General features: G+C 35.8%; 1 annotated feature.

The window, feature by feature from the left end:
* Positions 11184 to 12383: an enhancer, noted in NCBI's record as "P300/CBP strongly-dependent group 1 enhancer chr5:44875560-44876759 (GRCh37/hg19 assembly coordinates)". NCBI's record gives its function as "activates an origin of replication core promoter dependent on BRD2, BRD4, P300/CBP, MED14 and CDK7 cofactors, with strong dependence on P300/CBP, by STARR-seq in HCT116 cells {active_cell/tissue: HCT116}" and the evidence as "EXISTENCE:reporter gene assay evidence [ECO:0000049][PMID:35650434]".

Raw genomic sequence — 27916 nt, forward strand, 5'->3', positions numbered from 1 at the left:
TCTCTGCTCACTGCAACCTCCGCCTCCCGGGTTCAAGCGATTCTCCTGCCTCAGCCTCCCGAGTAGCTGGGATTACAGGTGCCTGCCACTGCGCCTGGCTAATTTTTGTATTTTTAGTAGAGACAGGGTTTCACCATCTTGGCCAGGCTGGTCTCAAACTCCTGACCTTGTGATCCACCCATCTCAGCCTCCCAAAGTGCTGGGATTATAGGCGTGAGCCACTGTGCCTGGCCCGTAATTCTTATTTGTTATTTTAACCATTAATCCTATGAAAATAAATAGTAGTTCTCTTATCAGGATCCAAACAAAATTTAGAAAGTAAATTTATGCAATGAGCTGAAAAAGAATTTCAAAATTGTTATTTTTTAATTATCTAGCTCATATTTTTTCTTTCTCATGAACTTTTTTCATTCTGTCCCTCCTTCTGGGGATAGAGACTGTATGGTCCACAAAGTCTAAAATATTTATCCTTTGGCTTTGTCCAGACAAAGTTTGCCAACCCTTGATTGTATGTTATGCTACTTAGTACAATTTTATTGGTCTATGCCACATTACTGTTTCTCAGTTGCTCTTTTTGGACAATGATGTAACAAGATATGTTACACATTAAACCTTTACAACATACATAAAAAAATTGAGATAGAAAGATAAGTGTGCAGTGACTAAAAAAGTTTATAAATACATATGTACAGGGATCTTTTTGTAAGATAAAGTAAAATTGAGTGAACACAGACACCTTAAAGAAAATATAATGAGCAGAGGAAATAAAAATATCTGTATTATAGATAACTTGTCTGTTAAATAACCTGTTTTTAAGCTTTCTTATTATGACATTGTTTACTACTCATTGTTTACTATTGTTTATTGCTCAGAAAAAAAAAGCTATTGAGTTAGTACCATCTGTGAAAATAAGTATACTTCATTTATTTTAAAAGACAGAAATTATACCAAGGTCAGCTAAGATAATTTTCCTACTCTTACCTATAACATTATGTTATTTGTACCACTTGTACTGCAGTTCCCAGTAATTAAAACAGCAGGTTACCGATGGATTATTTCGGCATGGGCACACTCACTTTCCTGCCCTCAAGTTAGAGGGACATTGTCTTATGTAGACACTGCCCATTATCCATGGGCAAGATTCCCTCAAATTACCCTTGGAGGAGAAAGGTAGCCTAAATAGATCTCTTTCATTTGTCTCATGAGTCTTTGAAATGAACTATATTAGTGACTGTTAGCTGAGTTACTCCAAACAGAAAAAACAATTCAGTAATCTTATGCTTTTGATGTCAACTTGACATAAAGTTAAAATGAAAGAGATTGTTATTTAAGAGAAGACTTTAAGCAAGTTTCTTTGAAGTGCATATTTATTTGTAAAGAAAACTTATTTTAGGTCAATTGGAAGAAACCACATTCCTCTGAACATTCTCTAATGTTACTGCATTGCATACCTGCAAATAGTGGTAGTTAGGAAAAATTGGGGGAGAAAGGAGAAAAGATAAAAATGTTTCAGAACAACATGTTCATTTGATTTTAAGCATATGCAGAATATGCAGAAAAATCTTAGCAAATATTGTACATGTCCCTTAGATGATGCCAAGTTTCTGCTCCTTTTTCATAACCAGAAAAACATTTTTTTCTAAACCAGTGTATAAATATCCAGATAAGATATTTCAGTGCATGATAGAAAATTATATTTTGTCTGATTATTCCTAGGTATAAAATGTGTAAACTGTTTATCACCATGTTTGAGTTCTCACAAATTCTTGGCAATGTCCCAAGTTCTATTTGACAAGTTTCTGTATTGAGAACTCCAAGGCTGCCTTGGAGATAGATGTAAATCTCTTTGATAATTTACAGATTTCCACACAGGTTATGAAATAATTTCTATGGTCCTGTTCACCTATATTGCTTACCTCTTTCCCTCCTCACCATCTGTCAAAATCCTACCATTCATTTTGAACTTTGTTCAAGCCCTATTATATTCGTGAAGACTGTTTTGATCATAGAGCCTGACAAGATCCCTCCTTCCTCTGCTCTCCCATAGCATTGATTACCAAGTCCACTCATGTGCTCTGTATTTTTACTGTGCTGTCTTGTACTGCTCTTCAGTAAAATTTTATTTGTCCTACTGGATAACAAGCTCTTAAGTTAGTGACCAGGTCTTATACTTTTGTGATCCCCGCATGATGCCTTGAACGTATTGATTTCTCAAAAATGTCTGAAACCATTTTTCATGAAAAATATAAGTGGTTTTGGATTGTCACCTTTTAAGATTACACATACATGATTCAGATAATCTTTTGGATAATTGAGTTGATTAAATCATTTCCACATATGAAACTAGAAGAGTAATCTCTTCCAAATCATTATTGATTGCTCATGAATTAAATACTCTACAGAAGGTATATTTGTGAAATATCAATATGGTAGTAAACATATCAGTATAATAATAATTTCTGTCAGTGTTTATGATTTTTATGGCCCCATGCTAGGGCTTATTAGCTTGAAGCTCCTTATTATTTACTTTTTTTTTTCAAATACATTGATGGAATACCCAAATTGAGAAAAATTATGTTAAGTGAAATAAGCCAAGCACTGAGAGATAAACATTTGCATGTTTTGTCTCCTATGTGGAAGCTAAAAAAAATACAAATTGGATTCATGGTGATAGAGAGTAGAATGATGGTTACCAGAGGCCAGAAAGGATAGTGGGAAGGCAGCAATAAAGAGGGGATGGTTAGTGGGTACAAAAATAGAGTTAGAGAGAAGAAATAAAATCTAGTGTTCAGTAGCACAATAGGGCAACTAGACTTAACAATTTATTGGATATTTCAAAATAACTAAAAGAGTGGAATTGGAATATTCTTACCACAAAGAAGTAATAGGGTGATATGTATCCCAATTACCCTGATTTGATCCTTAGCAATCATATGCTTGTGTCAAAATAACACATGTAGTCCATAAACATGTACTATTATGTAACCATAATAATCTTAAAAAATTAAAGTCATGGTGAAATATATTCCTTCTTTGGAACAACCACCCAAATGTGAGAAAAATCATGTTTGCATCTAGAAATGATGGAGGAATATCCAGATCAATATACATATGTCTCACAAGCAAGGAATTAAAATCAATGTAAGTATAAATACCTGTATGTTCTATGATTTTATTTTATTTATTTATTTTTGAGTAAAAATGGGGAAGGCAGTAAAAAGACCTTTTTAGTTTATCTCTAAACTTTTCAATACTTTTAAATTTCAACTTTTTTTTTTGAAATTTCAACTTTTAAAGTTATTTTTACAGACCCCCAAATCAGGCCTCATCTGAAGAAGAGAGTTACCCACAATTTGGGCAAGAGACTGATAAGGCACCATAGAAGGCACGTATGCAGACATCATTATGAATCACAAAACAATTAGTATTTATTGAGTGCCCACCCATTCTGCGAGGCATATGCTAGTGGATCATATAGACTGTCCCCTGTATTCCTCCCTGCAACTCCATGAGGTGGTTTAAGCATTTTGTTTTGTTTTGTGTTTTTTTATTTCTGAGTTATTTAACTTAGGATATGATTTAAACACTTCTATCCCACTGTTGCATATTGAGGAACTGAGGCTTAGAAAGAGGATATAGAGGCCGGGCGCGGTGGCTCACGCCTGTAATCCCAGCACTTTGGGAGGCCGAGGCAGGTGGATCATGACGTCAGGAGACCGAGACCATCCTGGCTAACAAGGTGAAACCCCGTCTCTACTAAAAATACAAAAAATTAGCCGGGCGCGGTGGCGGGCGCCTGTAGTCCCAGCTACTGGGGAGGCTGAGGCAGGAGAATGGCGTGAACCCGGGAAGCGGAGCTTGCAGTGAGCCGAGATTGCGCCACTGCAGTCCGCAGTCCGGCCTGGGCAACAGAGCGAGACTCCGTCTCAAAAAAAAAAAATAATAAAAAAAAAAAAATAAAGAGGATATAGAGCTTACCCCAGATTACACAACTGATAAGTCATGGAGCTAGGATAGATAGGCAGGTGCATCTGATTTCAAAGCCAGTGACTTTTCTCTTATCATGTTGCTTTCTGTTATCATGTTGCTTTTTTTTTTTTTTTTAACATTTAACAATCTTGCTTATCAAAATACCCCCAGAGAGTTTAGAGGCCACAGATGATAGATAGATGGGTGGATAAATGGATGGACCTAGATAAAAGGGAAATTTGCAAATACACTTCAAATTAACTTCAAAGAACTTTTTACAAGTAGCTTGTGAAAAAAAGCAGAATTTGCCATTTTATAGAAATTGTTCGCTTTTAAGGAGTTTGACATTTCTACCTCATATTCAGCGTGCTCTCCATTTGACCTCTGAGTCCTTGCCTGTTGTATTTTCACTTAACTTGCCTTTCTCCTTTTTAGAAAAACAATTTCCTTGTAATGGATTTTCTTTTAGGGTTGAAACTCAGTTCAACAGGAAACAGACTGACTGATTCAGAACTGCAAGAAACCTTGAGGCAAAAAAATTCAACTCCATGCCATCATTTTACTGATGCATAAAAAGCTGACATTCAGTATAGTTACACGGTTTATCTAGTCTATGGGAGAGACACAGGTCTCCTAATTCTCAGGGCGGTGGAATTCTGTGACCCACTGCATCTTAATGAGATGCTGAAATCAAACAGTTATGAAGTTGATTGACAATTTTTTTTTGTAATTTAGTGACCAGGTTGATTTGGAATTGTCTTTACTAATTCATTTTTTGAAATGCTATTATTAATATGGAGACCATGAAAAATTGAAAAATGCCGTTTAATATAGGAGCACAGATACTGTTGTACATCAATACTGGCTTCAGTCTCCCTTACCAGCTTCACGCTGGTTCATTCTGAAACTTGCCATACACATCATGGCTCTACGACTTAGCCCCCTGTACTCCTTTATCTGGAATCTTTCCACATCTTGACTGCCTGGAAAAAATCTTACTTATCCTCCCTTTTATGTGTCTTAGCCTTACCCACACCTTCCCTCGCTTTGGCAGAGTTAATTTCCCACTTGTCTGTGATATTACAGCAATTTCTGCCCTTTTTATGATACTTATCTATGTTTTATTGCCATTATTTCTTCACCTATGTTTCCTGCTCCTGACCGGAAGCTTCTTGAGAGCAAAAATTTTGTCTTAGCCCTCTTAGCATCTCCTATGACAATGTAATGCTAGGAACATATTGGGGCACTGCAAAAATATTTCTCTTGAATAAATTATTTGAAAATCATGGTATCTTTCAAAGAAAATGCCCCAAAAGAAAACATGATGTCCAAAAATCAGGGCTGTAAGTAAGACTATATGATCAGATAAATATAAGAAAATATTTGCTGTCATTTTTACTAACTGAATTTTGTACAGTTATAAAGTTTGAAGTTAATACTTTATTTTTTTCAGTGGTCTGTGTTTTATGTTGCTTTTTTAGTAACAGGGATAGATTCATATGTCTCCAATCATAATATCTTGCCTGGATGTTAGTTTGGCTAACATTAATTTAGTCATCTGTTGACTAAAGAATAAGCCTCTGATCATTCCTTCTAATTTGAGAACTTCTAATAAGAAAGCCAGTGACTAGTATAAATTATAAATCTTTATATCACTATAATTTTGGTAGATCCAAGGTTTAATATAGTATTACATATATGGAACAGATCTGTCATAAATAAAATGTAACTGCTCCTATTTATAGAATGAATTCACATGCAAACACTTCATAAAGCTGTTTTCTCTTCACAACTAAGAAAGATGGAAAGCCAAACGTCAGCTGTAGGATATTTAATTAAATAGATTATATTTGTTTTCATTGGTACGCTCCCAAAAATTAAGCATAATTCAAAACACATTGGGCTTTTAGAGATATTGTCTTCTGGTCCCTACATAGAGTTATATAATACCCAGCTGTTTGTTATTAATCACAGTTTGTAATGGCTCAAGAGTTTATTCTGTACTGCTTAAAACAGCAAAAATGCAATGATTTTTTGTTAGTTTGTTTTTTAGAGTGAACAAATTTTGGATATCTGAAACTGATAAATCAGCATTACAATTCCTTAATGGGGAGCTTTTGCTTTCCCAATGTCTAAAATCAGTGAAACATCTGTAAATATGCTTATATTGAGCTTGACAGACCCCCTTTATATAACAAATTGTAGTTACATAATCTATAACTAAAATGATGATTAGGTGGTATACATGAGCTCCTTCCTTAGAGATTTCCAATGGTGCAGGAGACAGGTGCAGAAGTATCCCAGAATCCAAGATTCTTTATATGGAATTTCTAAAAGGTCTGCTATTTTTCTTTTTTCTTTTCTTTTTTTTTTTTTTTTTTGCCATTTCAGCATTTACAAAAATGATCTGTCATTTCAGTAGCCCTAGTGGAGACCACATTGCCAAGGAATGGACCTCAATATTATTCTCTTTATCTTTGCACTGCTTTACTCCCAGAACCCAAGTTCTTGTGTATTTGTGCATTTGTGCATAGCTAAGTTAAGGTTATCCTATCCTAAATGTGCTGATTAATATATTAAATATGATATTTCTTTCCTCCTTTTTTATTTTTTGAAGGTGAAGTATTTCTCAAACAAATCATCACCTTTATTCAGGGGAAATGCATATACTATAGCCAATTAAATGCTACTACAGATGCACCATGAAATTTTCAGTTCATGTGAGGCATAGCTACATTCCTTTAGTAGACATTCTGCCCCTTCCCAAGAAAACAAGTTTCTTTGAATGCTTCTAAGACAGAAGAGTAAAAACAGATTTGCACAGATAACTAAAAGTGTGTTTCCAAATGTCCACAGCTTACCAGGTTATAGTACCTAGGTCATTCAATTCTTTCCTTGTAGCTACTTCTTGACTGGGAAGTGGGTTTTTGTTTTTTGTTTTGTTTTTTCATGTAGAACATAAGATGTTACATTGTTTTACTAAAACATCGCATAAGTCAATGAAAACTAATTCCACGGGACAAGTTCCCAAGGAAAAGATCCGGAGACTCTGAGATTTTCATGTAGGTTTGTTGGGAATGGCTCTTGGGAACACCTAGGAAAAGTGATCGAGGCAATGTTGAGCAGGAGAAGCTGAGCTATGATGCAGTTGCAGTAGTGGTCTCAGACAATCCTACAAGAAGTTTTCCTTCTGGGATGGCCCTTCAGAGTTTTTATGTCTTGAGGTAAGGGGCCAGGCTTTTACACTCCTATATCTACCAGTCATTTGATGCAAGCCACGCTTGGTGGGGACCAGACAGAGTAACTTTGAGCCACTCTGCTCTCTGGCTGAGGCCAGTTTCTCAAGATAAACTAATCTGAGAGCTGTCAACACTCCCAACAATGGAAAAAAAAGTCCTTAACTCCTGAGGAGGGAATCTGAGCAGGGCACTACAGTGTTCACTACAAGGAGGTGCTTAACTTTTGCTACAGTAGTCTTGTAATGCTAATAGTGAACGATAATTAACTTGGGTGTTACATAGAATACTAAAACTTTTTAAGTAAACTATGTATTATCAGTCATGGCTAACATCTGAATTATTCTGTAGCATGGTTGTCTTTATCTTTAGAAATCTAAAATGCCAGCCTCTAATTTCCAGCTGAGACCCTAGGGAGGTTAGAGCTCAGATTATCATTAGCTTTAATGAGAATAATTTGTATGGAATCCCATATGTTAGTGAAAGAATATAAACATCTCCACATATTGAGCTTTGAATATCCCTTTGTTTACTTCAGCCTTTAAATGAATACAAAATTGTTTTGTTTACAGAGTTTTTATCAAAATAACGTTGAAGATTTTTCATGTTTTGTTTTATTCCTAATAGACTTTCAAATATATTAGTATAAGATCAGTATTTTAAAATGTTTTTATTAATCTAAGTTAAAAATTATAGGTAAGGAAGAGTTACACTTTCTATTATGTAATACAGCTAAAATTCTAAGGTGAAAATGGATGTATTTTGAAGATATATTCAGAGTGAAAAAGAAGACAGTAATTGAGTGATATACATCTTGATGTTTATTGACAAAGTGACTGCCATGGCAAAAATAAATCCAGATGTTTGAGTATAAAAGAATGGCAAAGTGGTATAATTAAATCAAACACATGAAATTTACTAGTTGAATGAACAGGTCAATTTGCATTTAACACTAAGGGATCGATTGATATTTGGAATGAGGGTTGGTGACAGATGGCATAGTTTTGTAGTCCCATTTCAGTCAGTTAACAAGTAATTGACAGATGTACTCATGGTGCTGAACATTATTTAAATAGAAATGTTTAGAATTGTTTCTTAAAATAACTTCAAGGTTTTCCATTTGTGACTATAGTTAATTCTTAAACTGTACTAGGTAAATGGACATATTTCATGAATTTAGGATTCCAGTGATGTTTTAATTGAATGAGTAAGTAATTCTCATAGTTTATTTAATGAAACAATCTGTCTGATCTTGGTCTATACTAATATTGTTTCTTAGTCCATCAAATTGGTGGCTGTAACAAAATGAAGACTTCCAAAAAATGAATATCAATTTTATATGGTAAGAGACACAGCTCAAAAAATCATTGAGTAGAAAGAAATGACAATGTAGTTGTACTCTTCTTAAAGTTTTAATTATCAATGGACACTACCCTCATAGAATTATGTACTGTTCTAGTTACTTTACTTTTAAAGCTCAGGAAATAAAGTTTGATTTACTTTGTGTTGTCCTAGAGAAAAATGGTTCCAAGACTGTAAAATGTACCCAGGTTAGCATCCATGTAGCTGTATATATTGATAACAGTTGACCTGATAAGAAAGTATAGATGACTGATAGAATAAGAAAAATATACATTAAAATCTACGTGGGGAAAATTTTGTTAAATTAGTGAACAAAGATTTTAATATATGCCCCCATTGCTCTACCCACAAAGTTCATTAAAAAGTTGGGTTAAATATAAGAATCTTAAAAAAATAAACAACTACCAAGGACAAAAATGTCAAAGAAACTGTTGAAAAAGTGAGTTGTAGATAAACTGTTCCAACCCAGATGTATATGTGAAGCATTTATTCTTAAGAAATGGTAGCGTCTTAATGTCAGTGAACGTAGATTGTTGTCAACCTCATGCCTGCAATCTCTGAATCCTCTGAAAAGAGAAGTGCACAAAAAAAGACAAAAATTCTAAAAATCCTGTATACCTACACACACAAGTTAAACAATACACAGCTAAAGAAAACACTAATAAACTACAAGATATATTTGACAAAATACACCGAAAAGAAAAGAATGCTATTATATTTCCCATCTCATCAAACTGAAGTTCAGGCAGAAGACAGTTGAGAAGAGACACTATTTTAATAAATATTAATGAAAAATGATTCAGATTTAAAGAGAAACATAAATTCTCAGATAGCAAGAAAAAAATATCAAGTCCCTAGAAAGACAAAATAAATCTTTAACTAGATACAGTGTTCTGAAACTATAAGATATCAAAGATTTACAAAGATGTGAAGACAATGGAGAGAAATGACAAATTATTTTCAAAGAGACCAATTGAATCGATATCAGATTTCTCATTAGAAACAATAGACGCATAAAGAGAATAAGATGATATTTTCAAATTCTGGGGAATACAATGATATAACCTAGCTAAACTATTATTTGAAAATATGAGTTAGAGACATAGATATTCATAAATATGAAAAAAATAAATCGTTGGCCATAGACTCTTATTGAAAGACTTACTAAAAGATGTACTTTAGCAAGAAGAAAGCTGACAAGGAAAGTATGGAAAACAAGAAATGGTGAGCAAAGCAGTTGATCAAACTTCTAAATACTGAAATTACTAAGAATACTTATAACTACTTTTGGAGTGTTTAAAAACAAAGTGGAACTTAAACACTGAATAATAATTACAGTAACTAAAGGGGTGGATCTGAAGGAAATGTAATTTATTACATATTCTCAAATCTTTTGGGGGAAGATAGTGATATTAATTAACCTTAGAATTTTTTAGTTAGAAATAATGTAGGTTAAAAATTTAAAGAAAATAAAACACTAAAACAAGAGAAACAGACTGTTTAATTTCCAAACCAGGGTGAACATTTCTACTAAGACAACAGAAAGCAACAAAAGAAAAAAAAATAGGATATTAAGAAAAGCATAGTAAAATTTTTAAAACCTAGAATAAGATGTCGACATATATCCAAATGTTAGTAATCAAATAAATATAATAAATAATCTTAAGAGAAAGAGACTTCAGATTTGATTTAAAATAAAATAAATAGCTATGTGTTGTTTGCAAATGATAATGCCTTACAAAGAGAAGGGGAAAATTAAGGAATGATAACTTACATACTAATCAAAAAAAGCAAATAATACTTTTATCAGAAATATATAGAATTCAGACAAAAGAATATTATAAATGAAGACATTAAGTAAGCTAAAAATAATGTATTTCCCCAGATGATATAATAGCTGTGAACTTGTATGGCAACCAAAATGATCAATATATGAAGTGAAGTAGGCATAACACTAAGAAGAAACTAAAAAACTTATAATGATAGTTGAGTGTGTTAACCCATCTCTTTTGGAAACAGAGTAGCAGACAAGAATATTATAGGAAGATGTGCACATGTACCACAAAGCTTAAAGTACAATTAAAAAAAAAGAATATTATAGGAAGATGGTGAAAAGGAAGAGGACTAAAAGTGAGTGGTTGTTGGTAATATCAATTGGTAAGCACATTTTTAAGAACAGTCTAGGAACATTCATTTGAAAGTGCACAAGAAGTATTTCCTAATAATTCTGCTTCTAGATATACCACTTAGAAAAATCACTGCACGTCTGTACAAGAGGATATGTCCAAAGATTCCCACGGAAGCATTGCTTTTAGTAGCAAAAATTGGAAACAACCTAAGTGCTATATGATAGAATGCTATCCAGCAGTTAAAATGAATAAACTTGATTTTTATGTATAATGTGGGAAGAATTTAAAAAATACTTTTCTTGAGAGACCTACATATATTTTAGAAAAATCTGCCTATGCATCTTACATAAGTTAAAATACTGTATAATAATTAAAGATACTGGCAAAAGCCCTGATATGAGAGCTTATTCCTGATTCTAAGGAGGTAATTGAAATAGAGGGATGAAGAAGAGAATATCAAAAACATTATTCCTTTCAAGAAAAGAGGAAAAAATATTAAAGCATTCCCATTAAAATTAAGAAAGTAAAGGTTCTAATGATCACTGTTTTATTTAATATTGTTTTGGTGGTTCTAGATAATAGAATAAGACACTGTTTGGGATAAACATAGTAAAGAAAAAGTTTTGTTTTCAGATATAATTGAATACCGAAGAAAATCAGAAAATTCAACTGAAAACCTATTTAAAGTAAAAAGAAAACTTACTAAGATGGCTGCATACAAAAATCAAGAGTTTTCCTTTTATAGTAGTATAACAGGATGTGAAAATGAAAGCTTTGACTGAACTCTGAATTACAGTGTGCTATGAGTCAGATCAACAAGCTGAAATTTCAAAGAAGGTGTTTGTGAACCTGCTAGATGAATCATCTACATCAAGGATCTAAAACGGTCAGGTGGCTGGTGATTCAACAGGATTTGGTGAAGAGGACTGGTTTGGAAAATCTGTGTTCTTAATCCTGTCTTCCATCCCAGAGAAAGGGAGGGGGGATGATTGACCCTTCTTTCTCAAATCTAGGGAGAAAGTTTCATGAGGGCTGCTTGCAGAGCTTGATATATGTTTCTTGTAGTCGTGGGGCATTGTGAATTGGTTTCTGATTCATGCCTGTGAAATTTGAGACAAAAAGATCATGGCTGGAAGTTTCGTGTGACTAGGTGACTAAGTTCCTTCCAATAAGAAATAATGAATGCAGATGTCTTGTTCTCCTTTTCTCTCCTTCTTCCTGTTTCTAGTTGGCCCTGGAACAGTGGCCTCCAGGCCTGAGATAATCGAAGCAACTGGAGAAGCTTGAAGGAGTCTGGGTCCCTGATCCTGACAAAGCCGCTATTCCACCCCTAAACTGGCTACATCTGGATTTTTTTTCTTTGGCATGAGAAAGGAATAAACGATCTTACTAATTTTTAAAGTTAGTGTTATTTGAGGTTTAGCAGAAGCTAATCCTCTCATTTAATCATTTTTCTTATCCAATCTTCACAATTTGAGAGGTTTGAAGATGAAGAATACGTTTACAGCTAATTAAGCAGTGGTGGTTGCAAAACATTGAAGTAGCTGTGGAGAAACATTAATGAAGTCAATTTCAGAGAGGGAAAGAATGTAGAGATTGTGTGCCAGGATTAAAATATTTTTATTTACTGATATGTTATGCTCATAATTCTTTTTTTTTTGTTTGTTTTTTGAGACAGAGTTTCCCTCTTGTTGCCCGGGCTGGAGTGCAATGGCACGATCTTAGCTCACTGCAACCGCCACCTCCTGGATTCAAGCGATTCTCCTGCCTCAGCCTCCTGAGTAGCTGGGATTACAGGCATGCGCCACCATGCCTGGCTAATTTTGTATTTTTAGTAGAGACAGGGTTTCTCCATGTTGATCAGGCTGCTCTCCAACTCCCGACCTCAGGTGATCTGCCCGCCTTGGCCTCTCAAAGTGCTGGGATTACAGGCGTGAGTCATCGCGCTCAGCCATTATGCTTATAATTCCTATTTTGCCTACAGGTCATATCTCATTCAGACATTTGGCCTTAAAGATGCATTGCCTCAAGGGAGTAAGGATCAAAAAATAAATATCTATCATTCTTAGTTTTTAAGTTCCAAAGCTCCAAATGGAGGTTTCAGGTGTGAAAATTTCATTTGACCTCTTCTCCCTGAAAGTGATCTGAGTCAGAGAAGAGAGTGAAAGGACAAGGGTGTCTGAGAAAAGGCTGGCTAAGTCCCACATTGAGGAGAGGACACAAGGCAGACAGTAGAATGCTTCTGATAATTTTGTGATCTTGGGGTCAATGGAATTTGTGTTCTGTTTCCTGTCTGTAGCCCTGAGAGTACCCCAGGCCTTTGAGGACTAGACACTAGAAGACGGATGGTTGATGCAAATGTCCAAGACAGAAGTGGGTTTGGCATACCTACTGGGTTTCCTGGGCCTTCAGAGTTGTATGGAAGAACTGAAAAATTTCCTCATGTTTCCCAGGACAGCTGTGGAAATGAAGACAGAACGAGCAAGACAGCAAGAGAGAACTGTTGGGCACTGAAATCTAGAAGTTATGAAAAGAGGCTACCTCTGGGGACAGTTATGTAGATCAAATTTAGAGATTAATCATGGCTTAGGACCAGAAAGAACTCTATGTTTCAATTATGAATTATGACCAAGTAGGCAGAAGCTATCAGGCAGTGACCAGATGACCCCCTCAAGTTTTCTGGGTACAAAGAAAGTGTACTTGAAATGAAAATTAAGAACTTGTAAAAATTGTGTATATTTAACTTTTGAATTAATGGCCTGAAAAAATTATACCATTATGTGTGAATAACTAATAAAGTAGAAGTTTGAAGATGCAAGCATGAAAGGCAAATAACAGAGCACATTTCAGAGAAAACAGAGATTATAATTTTATGGAGAGGGATATGTAGTCTTGACCAAAAGGGATACTTCTTTTTCAGAAACAAGATCAAAATTAGATTTTTTAAATTGAAAGTTTAAATCATATAAACTTTGCCTATTAAGTAAGGGGGAAAAAATCCTCATCTGTTTATAATTTTAAAAAATGGGATGCTTTTGGGAAGTTTCTTTTTTTCCTATGGGTTTCACATTCCTGCAAGTAGCATCAGGTAGATGAATATTTAGAACCAATTTCAAGAAGCAAAAATTAAGTCTTAGAGAACTATATTTAATTTCAAGTACAGTAGTCTTTAGAGTATTTGGTACATTAAAGAACGGAAAATGTTAGTTCCACTTACTACTTAAATTTTAATAGATTTTATTTTGATTATTATTTTTTGTTTGTTTCTAAGAGTCAGCGTAACCCAATCATTTCACTTTTCCTCAGGATCACCACAAATATCACTCTTTTTCTTTTTCATTTTTTAGAGCTTAATTGCTTCGTTTTGTCTGTTTTGAAACATTTATCCAGATATATTCTAAGAAAGAAAATATCTGGTTGTGCAGCATTTTTACCTAGAGCATAATTAATCAACTAAATATATTATTTGCCAAATTAATATTTTTTCATACAGTTTATTACCCTAAAGGAGTAATTTTTGTCAACTTATTCCCCAATCTTCAACTGACTGGAAATCTTTGAAATAAAGATAATAAAGGTAACATATTTCATTAGATAGCACTAAGAGAAATAATCCTACAAAATCCAAGCTTGCAAGGACTTCTATCATCATTATTTTTTTAAATAACCATTTTTTTTAACTTTTGTGTAACTAAAGTAGGGATCTCAACCTGAATACAAAGTTTCAGACCAGTCTGGACAATTAGTGGAATGGAATGTGGAAGCCTGTTGACATCCCAAGTAGGCTGTAAAGTCCTTGTCCAACACTGAATCTTCATCGCCGACTAGTTTCTCAATAGATGTTTGTTGACTCAATCGGTTAATGGGAGGAGGTATGGATGTATGGATAGATAAAGGAGAGAGAAAGAATTTTCCATGAAAGAGGTTGCCAGAATAAAGATAACTAAGAAATATCACTGGTAAGGGGCTACTATCTGGGGCTGGTGGTGTGGGGAAAAGAAGAATTTACTGACAGTTGTAGGTGAAGAAAAGTTTATTAGATTAGGTATGAAATTATGTTTCAAGGAAGCAATGGGTAGGCCAGCAAAAAGGAGCTGACTGTAAGGAAACAAAGGCTTGCTGGGATTTTATAGGACAGTGCTTGTGCTGTGTGCTGAAGAGGGCTTTGTGCAGTACTGATAATGCCAAGATTGCAGTGAGCTAACTTTCATTTTTTGCATCATCCCAGATTCTGGTGATAGCTGGGCACAGGAAGACTGTGATTTATTTGTGCAGGAGGGGTATGTGTTTCTAGATCATGAGAAAGGCACACATAGTTCTTTTTTCTCTTTTTGCTTTCCCTCAGTCCCACCAGCCCGACTCCTTTTTCCTAATTAGGATTCCACAAGAAAGCTGTTTCTGGATTATCAGAAGGTGGATCACCCTAATAAACACAGGATCTGCTACTGGTATTTGTTTCCTGTCCTGACTGCATCGAACTCATGTCCAAGGTCAGAGGATATCCGGAGAACTGTGAAGGACAACTATGAACGTGGTTTCATTAAAACCTCAATAAGACTTGAAACACAAGCAATAATGCTTGTAATCTCAGTTAATGAAAGAGGGAAAACCTTCTTCCCCACTTAAAAGCAAAGCATAGGGATTTTCCATACTGTCCCTGAACCAGTGAGTTTATTCCTAACTACTTATAACACATATCCTGGGGCTCATAGCAATATTTGAGGAACAGTTTACATGTGGCTATAGCCTGCACTGATAGATGTTGGAAATAGCCAATATTATTTAAATTATCTTCCTAATGTGTCAAAATTATAAGGCCAGGACCAGGGATCTGCCCTACTACACCCTCAGAGTAAAGTGCCTTTTTAACTTTTACACTGTGGGCACCTTTCTTGCTTCACCCTAGTTTTTGGCCTTGTTTAATTAATACTCATTAGCTAATGACAAATAGAGATCCTAGGTTAAAAAATATTTCACTGTCTTTCATATCCATTGATGAAGCTTCTAGGATATAAAAAATGGTGAGACTAACAATACTGACCTCAGGTAATTGCTTTCAGTAGAAAATGACTTAATGCATGTGAACTCTGCATCCCCAGATATTATTATTTTTCACCCACTTAACTTCCTCAAACCTCAATTGATGTCCTTCTCTAGAAGTAATTACAGAGCTAAAGATGACTGCAGCTAAATCACTGCCCTTGGGACTTGGCATGTATTTATAATAAGAGAATATTTTTTCCCTTAGCAGTGGTAATAAGTATACACTGACCAGTCTCCATTCTATTACTTCATTTAATAGCTAAGCAGGACATTTTTTTAAAAAAGTTTTAAAGCCACTTTAAAATTAGAAAAGCTTTCAAATGGTGTATGACATACACTATACTGACAGGCTAACTGGTATGCTTTGGAGCACCACTCAGAATAGCTGTAGTTTTATTCCTACAGAAAATGATGTCAAAGAGGCCCAACCTTCGTGAATGTGGGCTGGTGTGGGACCTTCTTTTAAAAATAGAAGTGTCCTGACTAATCTGTTACACTGGCAACAGATCTAAAGACTATAGGCTGGTACTTGTGAAGATTAGAGAAAATGAAGACACGCAAAGACAGATTTGCCTTTCCCATAGTGGCTAAGATAAATCTGTCATTCAGTTAGAACTGCAAAGAAATTTCATTTAGATTTTAACTTTTTGATATCTAATTCACAAAGGGAATTTGTCTCACTCCAAAAATAACTCTTCAAATATCAAACAACAGAAGAAATGTTTTTTACATTAGAGAAATATTTGAGACTTTTCTGACAATGCCCTGTGTCCTAGTGGGGGGAAAAGGAGGAAACTTTGTTCTCTAGAGTTTTCCTAACAAACCTCTTCCATTTGTCTCTGTGGAAACAGTCAAATTGCCAGAGGCAACTTTGCCAACCATATGTTGTCAGAGATGTAACTTTTTTTTAAAGGTTAGATTACATTCTTCCATTTATTTCATTAATCTCTACTGAGGGCTCGTTTTATACTAAAACTTTTAAATTGTTGGTGAATTTACCGATCTTTTATAAGAACTTGTAAGTATAGAGCTGGGTGTTGAGGAGCTAACAAAAGTACTTTGCCGAACGGTGGGCATTTACAGCTTCTTTACAGTGTGGGAAAAGGTGTTAACATAATCTGAGCAAATTCAAGGTGATCTTCTAAGAGTAGAATACCCAACTATTGAGTGAGGTGGGAGGAAGAGGGCGGAAGGAGGAGGAGGAAATAGATGACTGATCTAAATGAGTTTTGCATTTTATATTGTGCTTGTACCAGCCCTCAGGGCAAATTGTGTGCATCTTCTCCCAGCTCTGTGCTCAGTGACGCCATGTTGGTAGCTTCAAACAAGACATGGTGGGAGTATTTACACTGCAAAAATAAGCAAATGCTACAAATCCTGGCATTTCCCTCTCTGGAGAGCCAGTTGTTAAACGTTTACCAGCTCACCACTCATTAACCTGGAAACTCTCAATGGACACTTTGGCAAAGAAAAGCAACGTAGTGAAAAAGAAACAAATCACGAGCTAGGATGAAGGTATCAAGGGGGGAAGGAAGAGAGAGAATTGAGGTGGTTAAGATAATCATGTAACCACTTAGGTAAGCATGACTATTGGAAAAACACACGTGAGAGTTGAGCCCATTTACTGAGATAGCTATGTCTCTGGTGTAACAGTACTAAAGCGATACCCAGGAGACACTAGAAAGTCAATAGATAGCTTTGCCTGGAGTTCCATGGAATAGCAGGAAGCAGCCCATTTTTAGAGTTAAATAAGAGTTGGGGACAAAACATAATTAAAATGTGGTATACCATGAGGGCAAAATTAGGTAAATATAGGCACTTTGAATGTAGAATTGAGGAGGAATAAGAGCAAAAAGTGTTTTGAACTCAAATCAATTTAATATAACCTATATCAACACAGCTCATAATGACTTCTTCCAGGTTTCTAGAATGTTCCAGGTACTGGATTATATACTGTATATACATTACGTGAATTGATATTCATGGTAATCATGTTAAATAAGTGCTAATATTGTCTCATTTTACAAATAAACGAAATGAAAGAGATATTAAGCCACAACCAAAGTCTAGTCCAGAGCCTAAGCTCTTTACCACCTTAGTATGCTTTGCTACGTCATTCCAGGGCTTGCTAGATAGTTTAAGCAGAGAATTCTGAGGTAAATTTTATAACTGAGGAATAATGACTCCTCAGTTCATTGAGATCTCTTGTACCTAAGGAAGATACCAATAAACTTGAATTTCTGTTTTTTGTTCTGTTTTTGTTTTTTGTGCTAATTGGTATCTCTCTCACAGTACCTTCAACATAGAGCATATATGTCTCATAGATCTATATTATATAAAATAATTATTTCGTTTAAATAACATAATATGAAAAGCCCCAATTTACTGTATAGTATCTACATCTGGAAACTTCAGCTGCCTAAATACTTTTCTTTTTCTTAAATTTTTTGAAGTATAATATACACATGAAGGACATACTTTGTAAGTGTAAGGCTGGATGAATTTTCACTAAGTGTTCATACTAGTGCAAAAATTGCCTAGAAAAATAGACCATTTTCAAAAACCCAGGAATTTTTCTCATGTCCCCTTCAGTCTCAGCCCCCAGCAAGTACAACTACTATCCTGATTTCTATCACCAGAGATTAGTTTATACCTATTTTTGAATTTATGTAAGTGGAATTATAAAGCATGAATACTGTGTCTGGTGTTTTGTTTGGTAAATACTGTTTCCAAGGTCCATTTATGTTGTCTATAGTTGCAGATCATTTTCATTGCTACATAATACTCCATCATTTTCATATATCTAAATTGAAAGTATTATTTATTATAATATCTTATTCTCTTGAACTTTCTATGTTAAGCATTTTGAGCCTCAGAGGTCTTGAAGGTTAGGAGAATCTCATAAAAAATTTGCCTTGCAAATACACACTAACAAATTAATCTCCACCCTTGTTCAACTTTAACCTATAACTTGTATACTAAATTCCTAAATCTTTCAACCTTTCTAAGATACTTCAGAGTCATATGACTTTCTTACTACCTATCCCACTTAGAGATCTCAAAGGCCTATGTAAATTCACAGACATGATCCAAAGTTTTGTGTCCGGAATTGGTGGGTTCTTGGTTTTGCTGACTTCAAGAACGAAGCCGCAGACCCTCGCGGTGAGTGTTACAGTTCTTAAAGATGGTGTGTCCGGAGTTTGTTCCTTAACTTGTTCAGATGTGTCCAGAGTTTCTTCCTTCTGGTGGGTTCGTGGTCTCGCTGACATCAGGAGTGAAGCTACAGACCTTCTCGGTGAGTGTTAACAGCTCTTAAAGGCGGCATGTCAGGAGTTCATTCCTTCCAGTGGGTTTGTGGTCTTGCTGGCTCCAGCAGTAATGCTGCAGACCTTCCCAGTGAGTGTTACAGCCCTTTAAGGCCCTCGCAGACCCAGTGAGCAGCAGCAAGATTTCCTGCAAAGAGCAAAAGAACAAAGCCTCCCAGCTACCCAAGCAGGTTGCTGCTGCTCACTTGGGCAGCCTGCTTTTATTCCCTTATCTGGTCCCACCCACATCCTGCTGATTGGTCCATTTTACAGAGAGCTGATTGGTCTGTTTTGACAGAGTGCTGATTGGTGCGTTTACAATCCCTGAGCTAGATACAGAGTGCTGATTGGTGCACTTACAATCCTCTAGCTAGATATAAAAGTTCTCCAAGTCCCCACCAGATTAGCTAGATACAGAGTGCTGATTGGTGCATCCACAAACCCTGAGCTAGACACAGAGTGCTGACTGGTGCATATACAACAATCCTCCAGCTAGACATAAAAGTTCTCCAAGTCCCTACCCCACTCAGGAGCCCAGCTGGCTTCCCCTAATGGATAACGCCACGGACCCGGGAGGCCCGTCAGTCTTGTGCCAGCGCCAGTGCGCTGGCACTCCTCAGCCCTTGGGCAGTCGATGGGACTGAGCACCGCGGAGCAAGGGGTGGCGCTCCTTGGGGAGGCTAGGGCTGCGCGGAGCCCACTGGGGGTGGGGGGGGCGGGTTCGGGCATGGCGGGCTGCAGGTCCCGAGCCCTGCCCCATGGGGAGGCGGCTGAGGCCCAGAGAGAATTCCAGCGTGGCCCGCGGACCCTGCGCACCCTCTGCAGCTGCTGGCGCAGGTGCTAAGCCCCTGCCTGCCCGGGGTGGAGGCCCCGGCTGGCCGCTCGGAGTGCGGGGCCCACGGAGCCCACACCCACCCGGAACTCGTGCTGGCCCAGGAGCGCCACGCACAGCCGCGGTTCCTGCCCCTGCCTTACCCTCCACACCTCCCCCGCAAGCAGAGGGAGCTCAGAGGGAGCCAGCTCTGGCCTCCGCCAGCCCAGAGAGGGTCCCCCACAGCGCAGTGGTGGGCTGAAGGGCTCCTCGAGCATGGCCAGGGTGGACACTGAGGCCGAGGAGGCGCCGAGAGCGAGCTGATGGCTGCTAGCACGTTGTCACCTCTCAGTTTTGCACATACAACCAGTATAAATTTATAGATCACTAGTAATCCTACTAGCAACTATGAGGCTAGAACTTTGGACAGCAGTGCAAACCATTGACAAAAGCTCTTGCTCTAAGCAAACTCCTATAGTATTCTACTTTCTTTGCACACATTGTAGCCATTTGCACAAAATCAATACTCAGCTAAAGTTTGGTGATTTAAATTAAATTTGGTCATTTCAACAAAATTGGAAATTATACAGAATGCATTAATTCAATTGATGACTTTAAAATATCTCTAGTTTTGTAGAAAATAAACAATTATTAATCAAAATTATATCTAGCATACAAATGTCCCTTTTCGGATAGGTCTAAAGCCAGTACTGCTTAATTTCTTTCTTAAGGAGCAATTTGAGAATATAGTGAAAGCTGTGGACCTTCTTAGAAAAATTCTGATGAATTGTATTTTTCCACAGAACTCTTGTGGGCCCATCTAGAATTCTATGAGGTTTCTGTAGACTCAGTATTAAGAAACTGTATTCTAAACATATTTGACGTCAAACATTTATTGAATAACTAAATGCCAGAGAATGTGCTATTTGTCACTTTTTGGCATGCATTCACTATGAGGGTTATATTGCTCCCAAGGGAATAACAAATTTGTTTTTGGAAGGTGAAAAAAACTTACTATTTTAATGTATAATGCACAGAAATACACACGGTACATTGACTGATAATATACCTGTGGTATTAAAATTTATAGATAAAGCAATTTTTAAAATGTCTAAAATGCCTCCTTATAGGGCAATTAGGAAAAATTGAGAAGAGCTGCTCAACAGCAATTTGCGTTTGTGGGACTTTAACATCAATAGATCAGGGAAACTTGGAGTGGAAGAGGATCCACATATAAAAGAGTTTCCTGGATATATTAATTATATATCCAGTACCTAGTATGATGTTTGCCGGCCTAATACACAGAACTGCTTCTCATTCCATAGAAATTTCACTGGAAATGGGAAGGTCAAAAGGACTACTGAAAAATCACCAGCTGGCAATAATAATGACAATTTTTCTTGCCATAACCTGTTATTTTGAATTATGTAGGCCTTAGAGTTACTTCTTGATGTTAAAGCCAGGAAACTAGATGAGAATCTCAAATTCTCCTTTTGTTTGTTTGAAGCAAAACATATTTAAAGCAAGATCTTGCAGAACATGATCAGAATACATTATAGTGCATATTATTATTACATTCAATCATTAGTCATCCAAATTTGTTGATAATAGTACAGATTTTTAAATTTAATATTGAAAAATACGTAAAAAATTTACAACAAATCGCTATGTAGATGATTAAAAGTTTTTAGTGATTTTATACTTATCAGAGTCTTAATGACTGCTTCTAGGCAATTTGACCCCTTCAGGAAAAAGTACTGTTTATAGTAAATCAAATTAATGTTATAAAATACTAATGATTTAACATTTCAGAATACAATAGTTTTTTCATTTATATAAGCCAATCTTTGTGGATGTGGTTTTCACTAAGTAGTCGTGACTTTTTAACAACAGAAAGTCTAGGAGAGCAGAATCCTTTTGGTTTCAGTTGATGACTCATCAGAAACCTCACCATGTCCACTGGTTAAAAAAAATTATCATCACAATATTTCAATACTTACTGCTTCTGTAAGCACTTGGGTGTGAATCCTGCTATAGTCAGATCTCTCTGGTTTAAGAGGTACTATAACTTTTGCTTTCTTTACTGATCATAGACTGCAATTCTAATTATATTCATCCACCTAACAAATGACAGCACAAAATGAAGCAAGAGAATGGAGATCAGTCAGTATAAATTTGTATTACCATTGTCAGGTGGTAGGGTGAGGGGAACTCTATTATAATAACTAAATAAAGCTCCCAAGGGCAATGACTGAGTTGTAGTCATCTTTGGCTCTCTAGTTACTCCTATGGAAAGACCTCAATCAAAGTTTGAGGATATTAATTTGGGTAAAAATTATAAAATTATATAGGTATGAAATTATAATACCTAACATTTGTCTAGGGATGTAGAGCTTATATGCATTAAGTCATTTCCACTGAAAACAATTACCTGAAGTCAGTATTGTTAGCCTTGCCATGTTTCACATCCAAGAAGCTTCATCAACGAATAGGAAAGACAGTGAAATATTTTTTAAGCTAGAATCTTCAGTTATCATGAGCTAATGGGTATTAATTAAGCAAGGCCAGAACTAAAGTGAAGCATGAAAGGTCCCTAGGGTGTAAAAGCTAAAGAGGCACTAACTCTCAGGGTCTTGAAGGGCAGGGTACTGGTCCTGATTCTAACAATAAAACAACCCTGTGTTTCATGACACATAGCAAGGGTATTAGCAGTTGATGGAGAGAGCAAGTCTGAAAACATCGTCTTTGTCCCCCAGCCAAAAATATTTTTATTACAGCGATCTTACATGATGGTTTTATTTTCTTGCCTTTATTTATTATTATTTTAGTTTGTTGTTAATTGGCACCTTGTTATATAAAATACCTGTCTGTTAGCCTTCGATAAACTTTCTAGAGATTTTTCTGCTGTCTTGGCGCTAAGAATATGCTTAGATAGAACATTTCCAAAAGTGTGGGACAGATATCAGTGATTTAAAGGGTAATTTTAGGTGGTACACATATATAAATATGCACACACAACACTAAATAATGTCAAATAACGCAAAGAAACAATTCCTTTCGTCCTTTTATTTAGGCCAAATACAAAGCCTCACAAAAGTGTTACTGTATTTTTTACTTAAAGTTCTCTAAAACTTAGTAACTTGTTTTCAACAAAGGATGGACCTCAGGGTCAGTCTTTGGCAAAGGCATGAAGATCACATTTAAAATGCTTTCTATATGCTTTTGTATAGCTATTTTCAGATTGATATTAAGTTCCTTAGAAATACATGTATTTAGGCCGGGTGTGGTGGCTCATGCCTGTAATCTCAGCACTTTGGGATGCTGAAGCAGGTGGATCACTAGGCCAGGAGTTCAAGACCAGCCTGGCTAAGATGGTGAAACTCCTTCTCTACTAAAAATACAAAAATTAGCCAGGTGTGGTGGCAGGCACCTGTAATACCAGCTGCTTGGGAGGCTGAGGCAGAGAATTGCTTGAACCCAGGAGGCAAATGTTGCAGTGAGCAGAGACTGCACCACTGCACTCCAGCCTGGGGGACAGTGAGACTCCATCACAAAAAAACAACAACAACAACAAAAAAGAAGTACAGGTATTTAAATTAAAAACTAGTAAAATCACTAAATAATATTACATATGGTGTAGGGATTTAAAAAACAAAATTCTTATCTGAAGATTTGAGTTTTGGAGAATTATGCTTAGGTACATTGCTAACCTCTAGTGACTCAGCATGAATAGATAAGAATGTAAAATACACGTAAATTCTTCACACCATGTAAGATGTAGGCAACTATAGTTCAATGCCAAAGGAGGCTCAGCAGATGTGATGAGTCAAAATGGAAGGCAAGTTATTAGTATATATGACCCTTTCCATAGTTTAATAAATTATGAATATTCAAGAACTGAAAATACACTATCAAGGAAAACAAAGGGCTGAGAGAGAGATAACAGGGCAAGAAAAGTTTGACTTTAAGCCTCTACCTTTTAAATAAAGTGTTACAGTATAACTCAGCCAGGTTTCAATCATCTCCATTTAAGCATCTCTTTTTATTTGTTATCAATCAGGTCAAAATGTGGTAGAAAAAGTATTAAATTCTATGCATGATTCCCATAGAAAGCAATGAATCAATATTTTAATGTTTTATACAGGTTATAAAAATGTAAATGATAAAAGTTCAATTTTTAAATAAAGTTCAATTGTATTTTTATTCCTGTATTTAAAAATATTTGAAGAGAGTTATACATACTTTAAAATTCTGACATAAATGTAACTGGCTCTAATTTTTTAATACTATGTCTTGAAAAGTTACAAATTATATGTAATCTTTTACTTCTGTACTTAACAGTGGAAGAAAGTGTAATGTTTTGAAATAAGAAATGTCATCATTTAGAATAACTTTTAATAAATTTATATATTTTATAACACATGAAGACTCATTAAACGTTGAATCCTGGGGATTCAAGTTTTAAAATAATTAGTAATTTATCTTATAGAAAAAAATGAATTAATTGCTTTTTTCCCACAGAACATTCCCAATGGGCTGATTAGTTTTATTATTTTCTCCCCTTCCCCTTCCCCTTCCCCTTCCCCTTCCCCTTCCCCTCCCCTCCCCTCCCCTCCCCTCCCCTTCCCTTCCCTTCCCTTCCCTTTCCTTTTTTTGTTTTGAGACAAGGTTACACTCCCATAGCCCAGGCTGGAGTGCAACAGCACAATTTCAGCTCACCTCCCAGGCTCAAGTGATTTTCCTGTCTCAGCCTCCTGAGTAGCTGGGACTATAGGTGTGCGCCACCTACCCGGCTAAATTTTGTATTTTTTGTAGAGAAAAGCTTTTGCCATGTTGGCCAGGCTGGTCTTAAACTCCTGGTCTCAAGTGATATGCCCACTTCAGCTCCCAAAGTGCTGAGATTCCAGGCTTGAACCACTGGGCCTGGCTTATTTTCTAGGTGTAAAAAGTCTGTTACTCACTTCTCAGTGGCCTCCATTTTTGACTGTGATAGTCATGCAGGACATACTCATCTTAGGTACCTATGTATAGTAAGTGGAGGTGATCCTTTACATGAATTTTGTAAAGTGTTGGATAAATTTCCTAAATAGTTGAACCTAAAAATAATACTATTTTTATAATACTATTTTTATTTTACTATTTTACTATTGTTATGTGAAATAATAAAGTTATCCATTTTAATATATGCATATTACTAGTTGACAAACTATGTAGACTATCTAATGGACTCTGAAAACATTTAAAGAATATCCTGGCTGTCCTGCCTATAGCTCTACCCTCAAATCCTAGTACAATGCCTGGTATATATTAGAGATATACTTACTACATGAATAAATGGATGGATGGATGATGAGTGAATGAATGAATGGCTTTACTAAAAAGACTCAGGATAGTTTCACGTGCTGTATGTACTACATTAGAGGTGGTTGATTATAGTGGTTAAGACAGGAGCTTTGTTCAGTTGCTTAGTTGTGCCAACTACTAGGAAGGGTTATACCTATGGTGAAGAAGTCTTCCCAGAATATTATCTTGAAAACAACTTCTGCCTTGAGTGATACCATTAGATATTCTGAGTAACACCATTAAACATCTTGGCAGCAGCTCTTTACAGGCATTTTTAAATTAATCAGTTCATGTCCATTATTGTGTACATTTTTCTACTTTATATTCATTGATTTATTTGAGGGCATGTGTTTGGATTTATGCCTACTCTTTTTCCACAGACCTTCCATTTTATTTTAAATTTTCTTAAATTTTTAATTATTAGGAGTATATAATAGGTATATATACATATTCATGGAGTACATGTGATGTTCTAATACAGACATACAAAGTGTGATAATCACATCAGGGTACTCAGGGTATCCATCACTTCAAGCATTTATCATTTTTTGTGTGTTAGGAACACGCAAATTCTACTCTTAAAGTTATTTATAAATATATAATAATTATTCACTGTAATCATCCTGTCATGCTATCAAATACTAGAACTTATTCATTCTGTCTGTGTATTTGCGCCCATTAACTAATTCCACTCCCTGCCCAGTTCCTGACCTGCTACTTTTCTCAATCTTTGGTAACCATCATTCTACTCTCTATCTCAATGAGTTCAATTATTTTAATGTTTAGCTCCCACACATGAGTGAAAACATGCAAAATTTGTCTTTCTGTGCCTGGCTTATTTCAGTTAACACAATGTCCTCAAGTCCCATCCATGTTGCTGCAAATGACAGCATCTCATCTGTTTTTATGACTGAATAATATTTCACTGTGTATATATACTACATATATATCCATTCATTCACTGATGGACACTTAGGTTGTTTCAAATCTTGGCTATAGTGAATAGTGCTGCAATAAACATGGGAGTGCAACTGATTTCTTTTCTTTTAGGTATATACCTAGAAATGAGATTGCTGGAGTGTTTTGAGGAACTGTCTTACAGTTCTCCACAGTGGTTGTACTAATTTACATTTCCACCAACAGTGTATGATATGGGTTGGCTGTGTCCCACCCAAATCTCATCTTGACTTGTAGCTCCCATAATTCCCACGTATTCTGGGAGGGATCTGGTGGGAGGCAATTGAATCATGGGGTCCAGTCTTTCCTGTGCTGTTCTCTTGATAGCGAGTAAGTCTCATGAGATCTGTTGGAAATATGAGTCGATTAAACCTCTTTTCTTTATAAATTGCTCAGTCTCAGGTATGCCTTTATTAGCAGCATGAGAACAGACTAATACAGTGTACAAAGGTTCCCCTTTCTCTACATACTCACCAGCATTTTTTATTGCCTGTCTTTTGAATGAAAGCCATTTTAGCTGGGGTGAGATGATATCTCATGGTAGTTTTAATTAGCATTTATCTTATGATTAATCACTTTGAGCATTTTTAATATACCTTTTGGCAATTTGCATGTCTACTTTTAAGAAATGTCTATGCAGATCTTTTGCCCATTGTTAAATTGGATTATTTGATTTTTCCCCATCAAGTTGTTTGAGCAATTTACATATTATGGTTATTAATACCTTGTCAGATGGGTAGTTTGCAAATCATTTCTCCAATTCTGTGGGTTGTCTCTTCACTTTGTTGATTGTCTCATTTGCTGTGCAGAGGTTCTTTAACTTGATGTGAAAGTTAATCTGTCCATTTTTGCTTTGGTTTCCTGTGCTTTTGAGGTATTACCCACAAAAATCTCTACCCAAACCAATGTCCTCCAGTTTCATCAATGTTGGCTTTTAGTCATTTCACAGTATGAGGTATTAGATTTAAGTCTTTAATCCATTTTTATTTGATTTTTGTGTACAGTGAGGGAGAGGAGCCTAGTTTCATTCTTTTGCATGTGGATATCCAGGTTTTCCAGCACCATTTATTGAGGAGACTGTCCTTCCCTGCAATGTATGTTCTTGGCATCTTTATAAAAAATGAGTTCACTGCAGGTGTGTGGATTTCTTTATGGGTTCTCTATTCTTTTCTACCAGTCTATATGTCTGCTTTTATGCCAGTGCCATGTTGTTTGGGTTATTATAACTCTGTAGTATAATTTAAAATCTAGCAATGTGATTCCTACAGTTTTGTTCTTTTTGCTCAGCATGGCTTTTGCTATTCTGGGTTTTTTGTTGTTCCGTAAAAATTTTAAAATTATTTTTTTCTATTTCTGTGAAGAATGTCATTGGTATTTCAATGTGAGTTGCACTAAATCTGTAGATGGCTTTGGGTGGTATGGACATTTTAACAATATTAATTCTTCCAATACATGAACATGAAATATCTTTTCATTTTTAATATCCTCTTTATTTATTTAATCAGTGTTTTATAATTTTTATCATAGCAATCTTTCACTTCTTTGGTTAAGTTTATTCCTAGGTATTTTATTTTATTTGTAGCTATTGTAAATAAGATGACTTCATTTCTTTTTCAGATTGTTTGTTGTTAGCATGCAGAAATGCTACGGATTTTTGTGTGTTGATTTTGTATCCTGCAACTTCACTGAATTTGTTTATCAGTTCTAATAGTTTTTGGTGGAATCTTTAGGCTTTTCCAAATAAGATCACATCATCTGCAA

Source organism: Homo sapiens, chromosome 5 (genome assembly GCF_000001405.40).
Source record: "Homo sapiens chromosome 5, GRCh38.p14 Primary Assembly".
Lineage (NCBI taxonomy): Eukaryota > Metazoa > Chordata > Mammalia > Primates > Hominidae > Homo > Homo sapiens.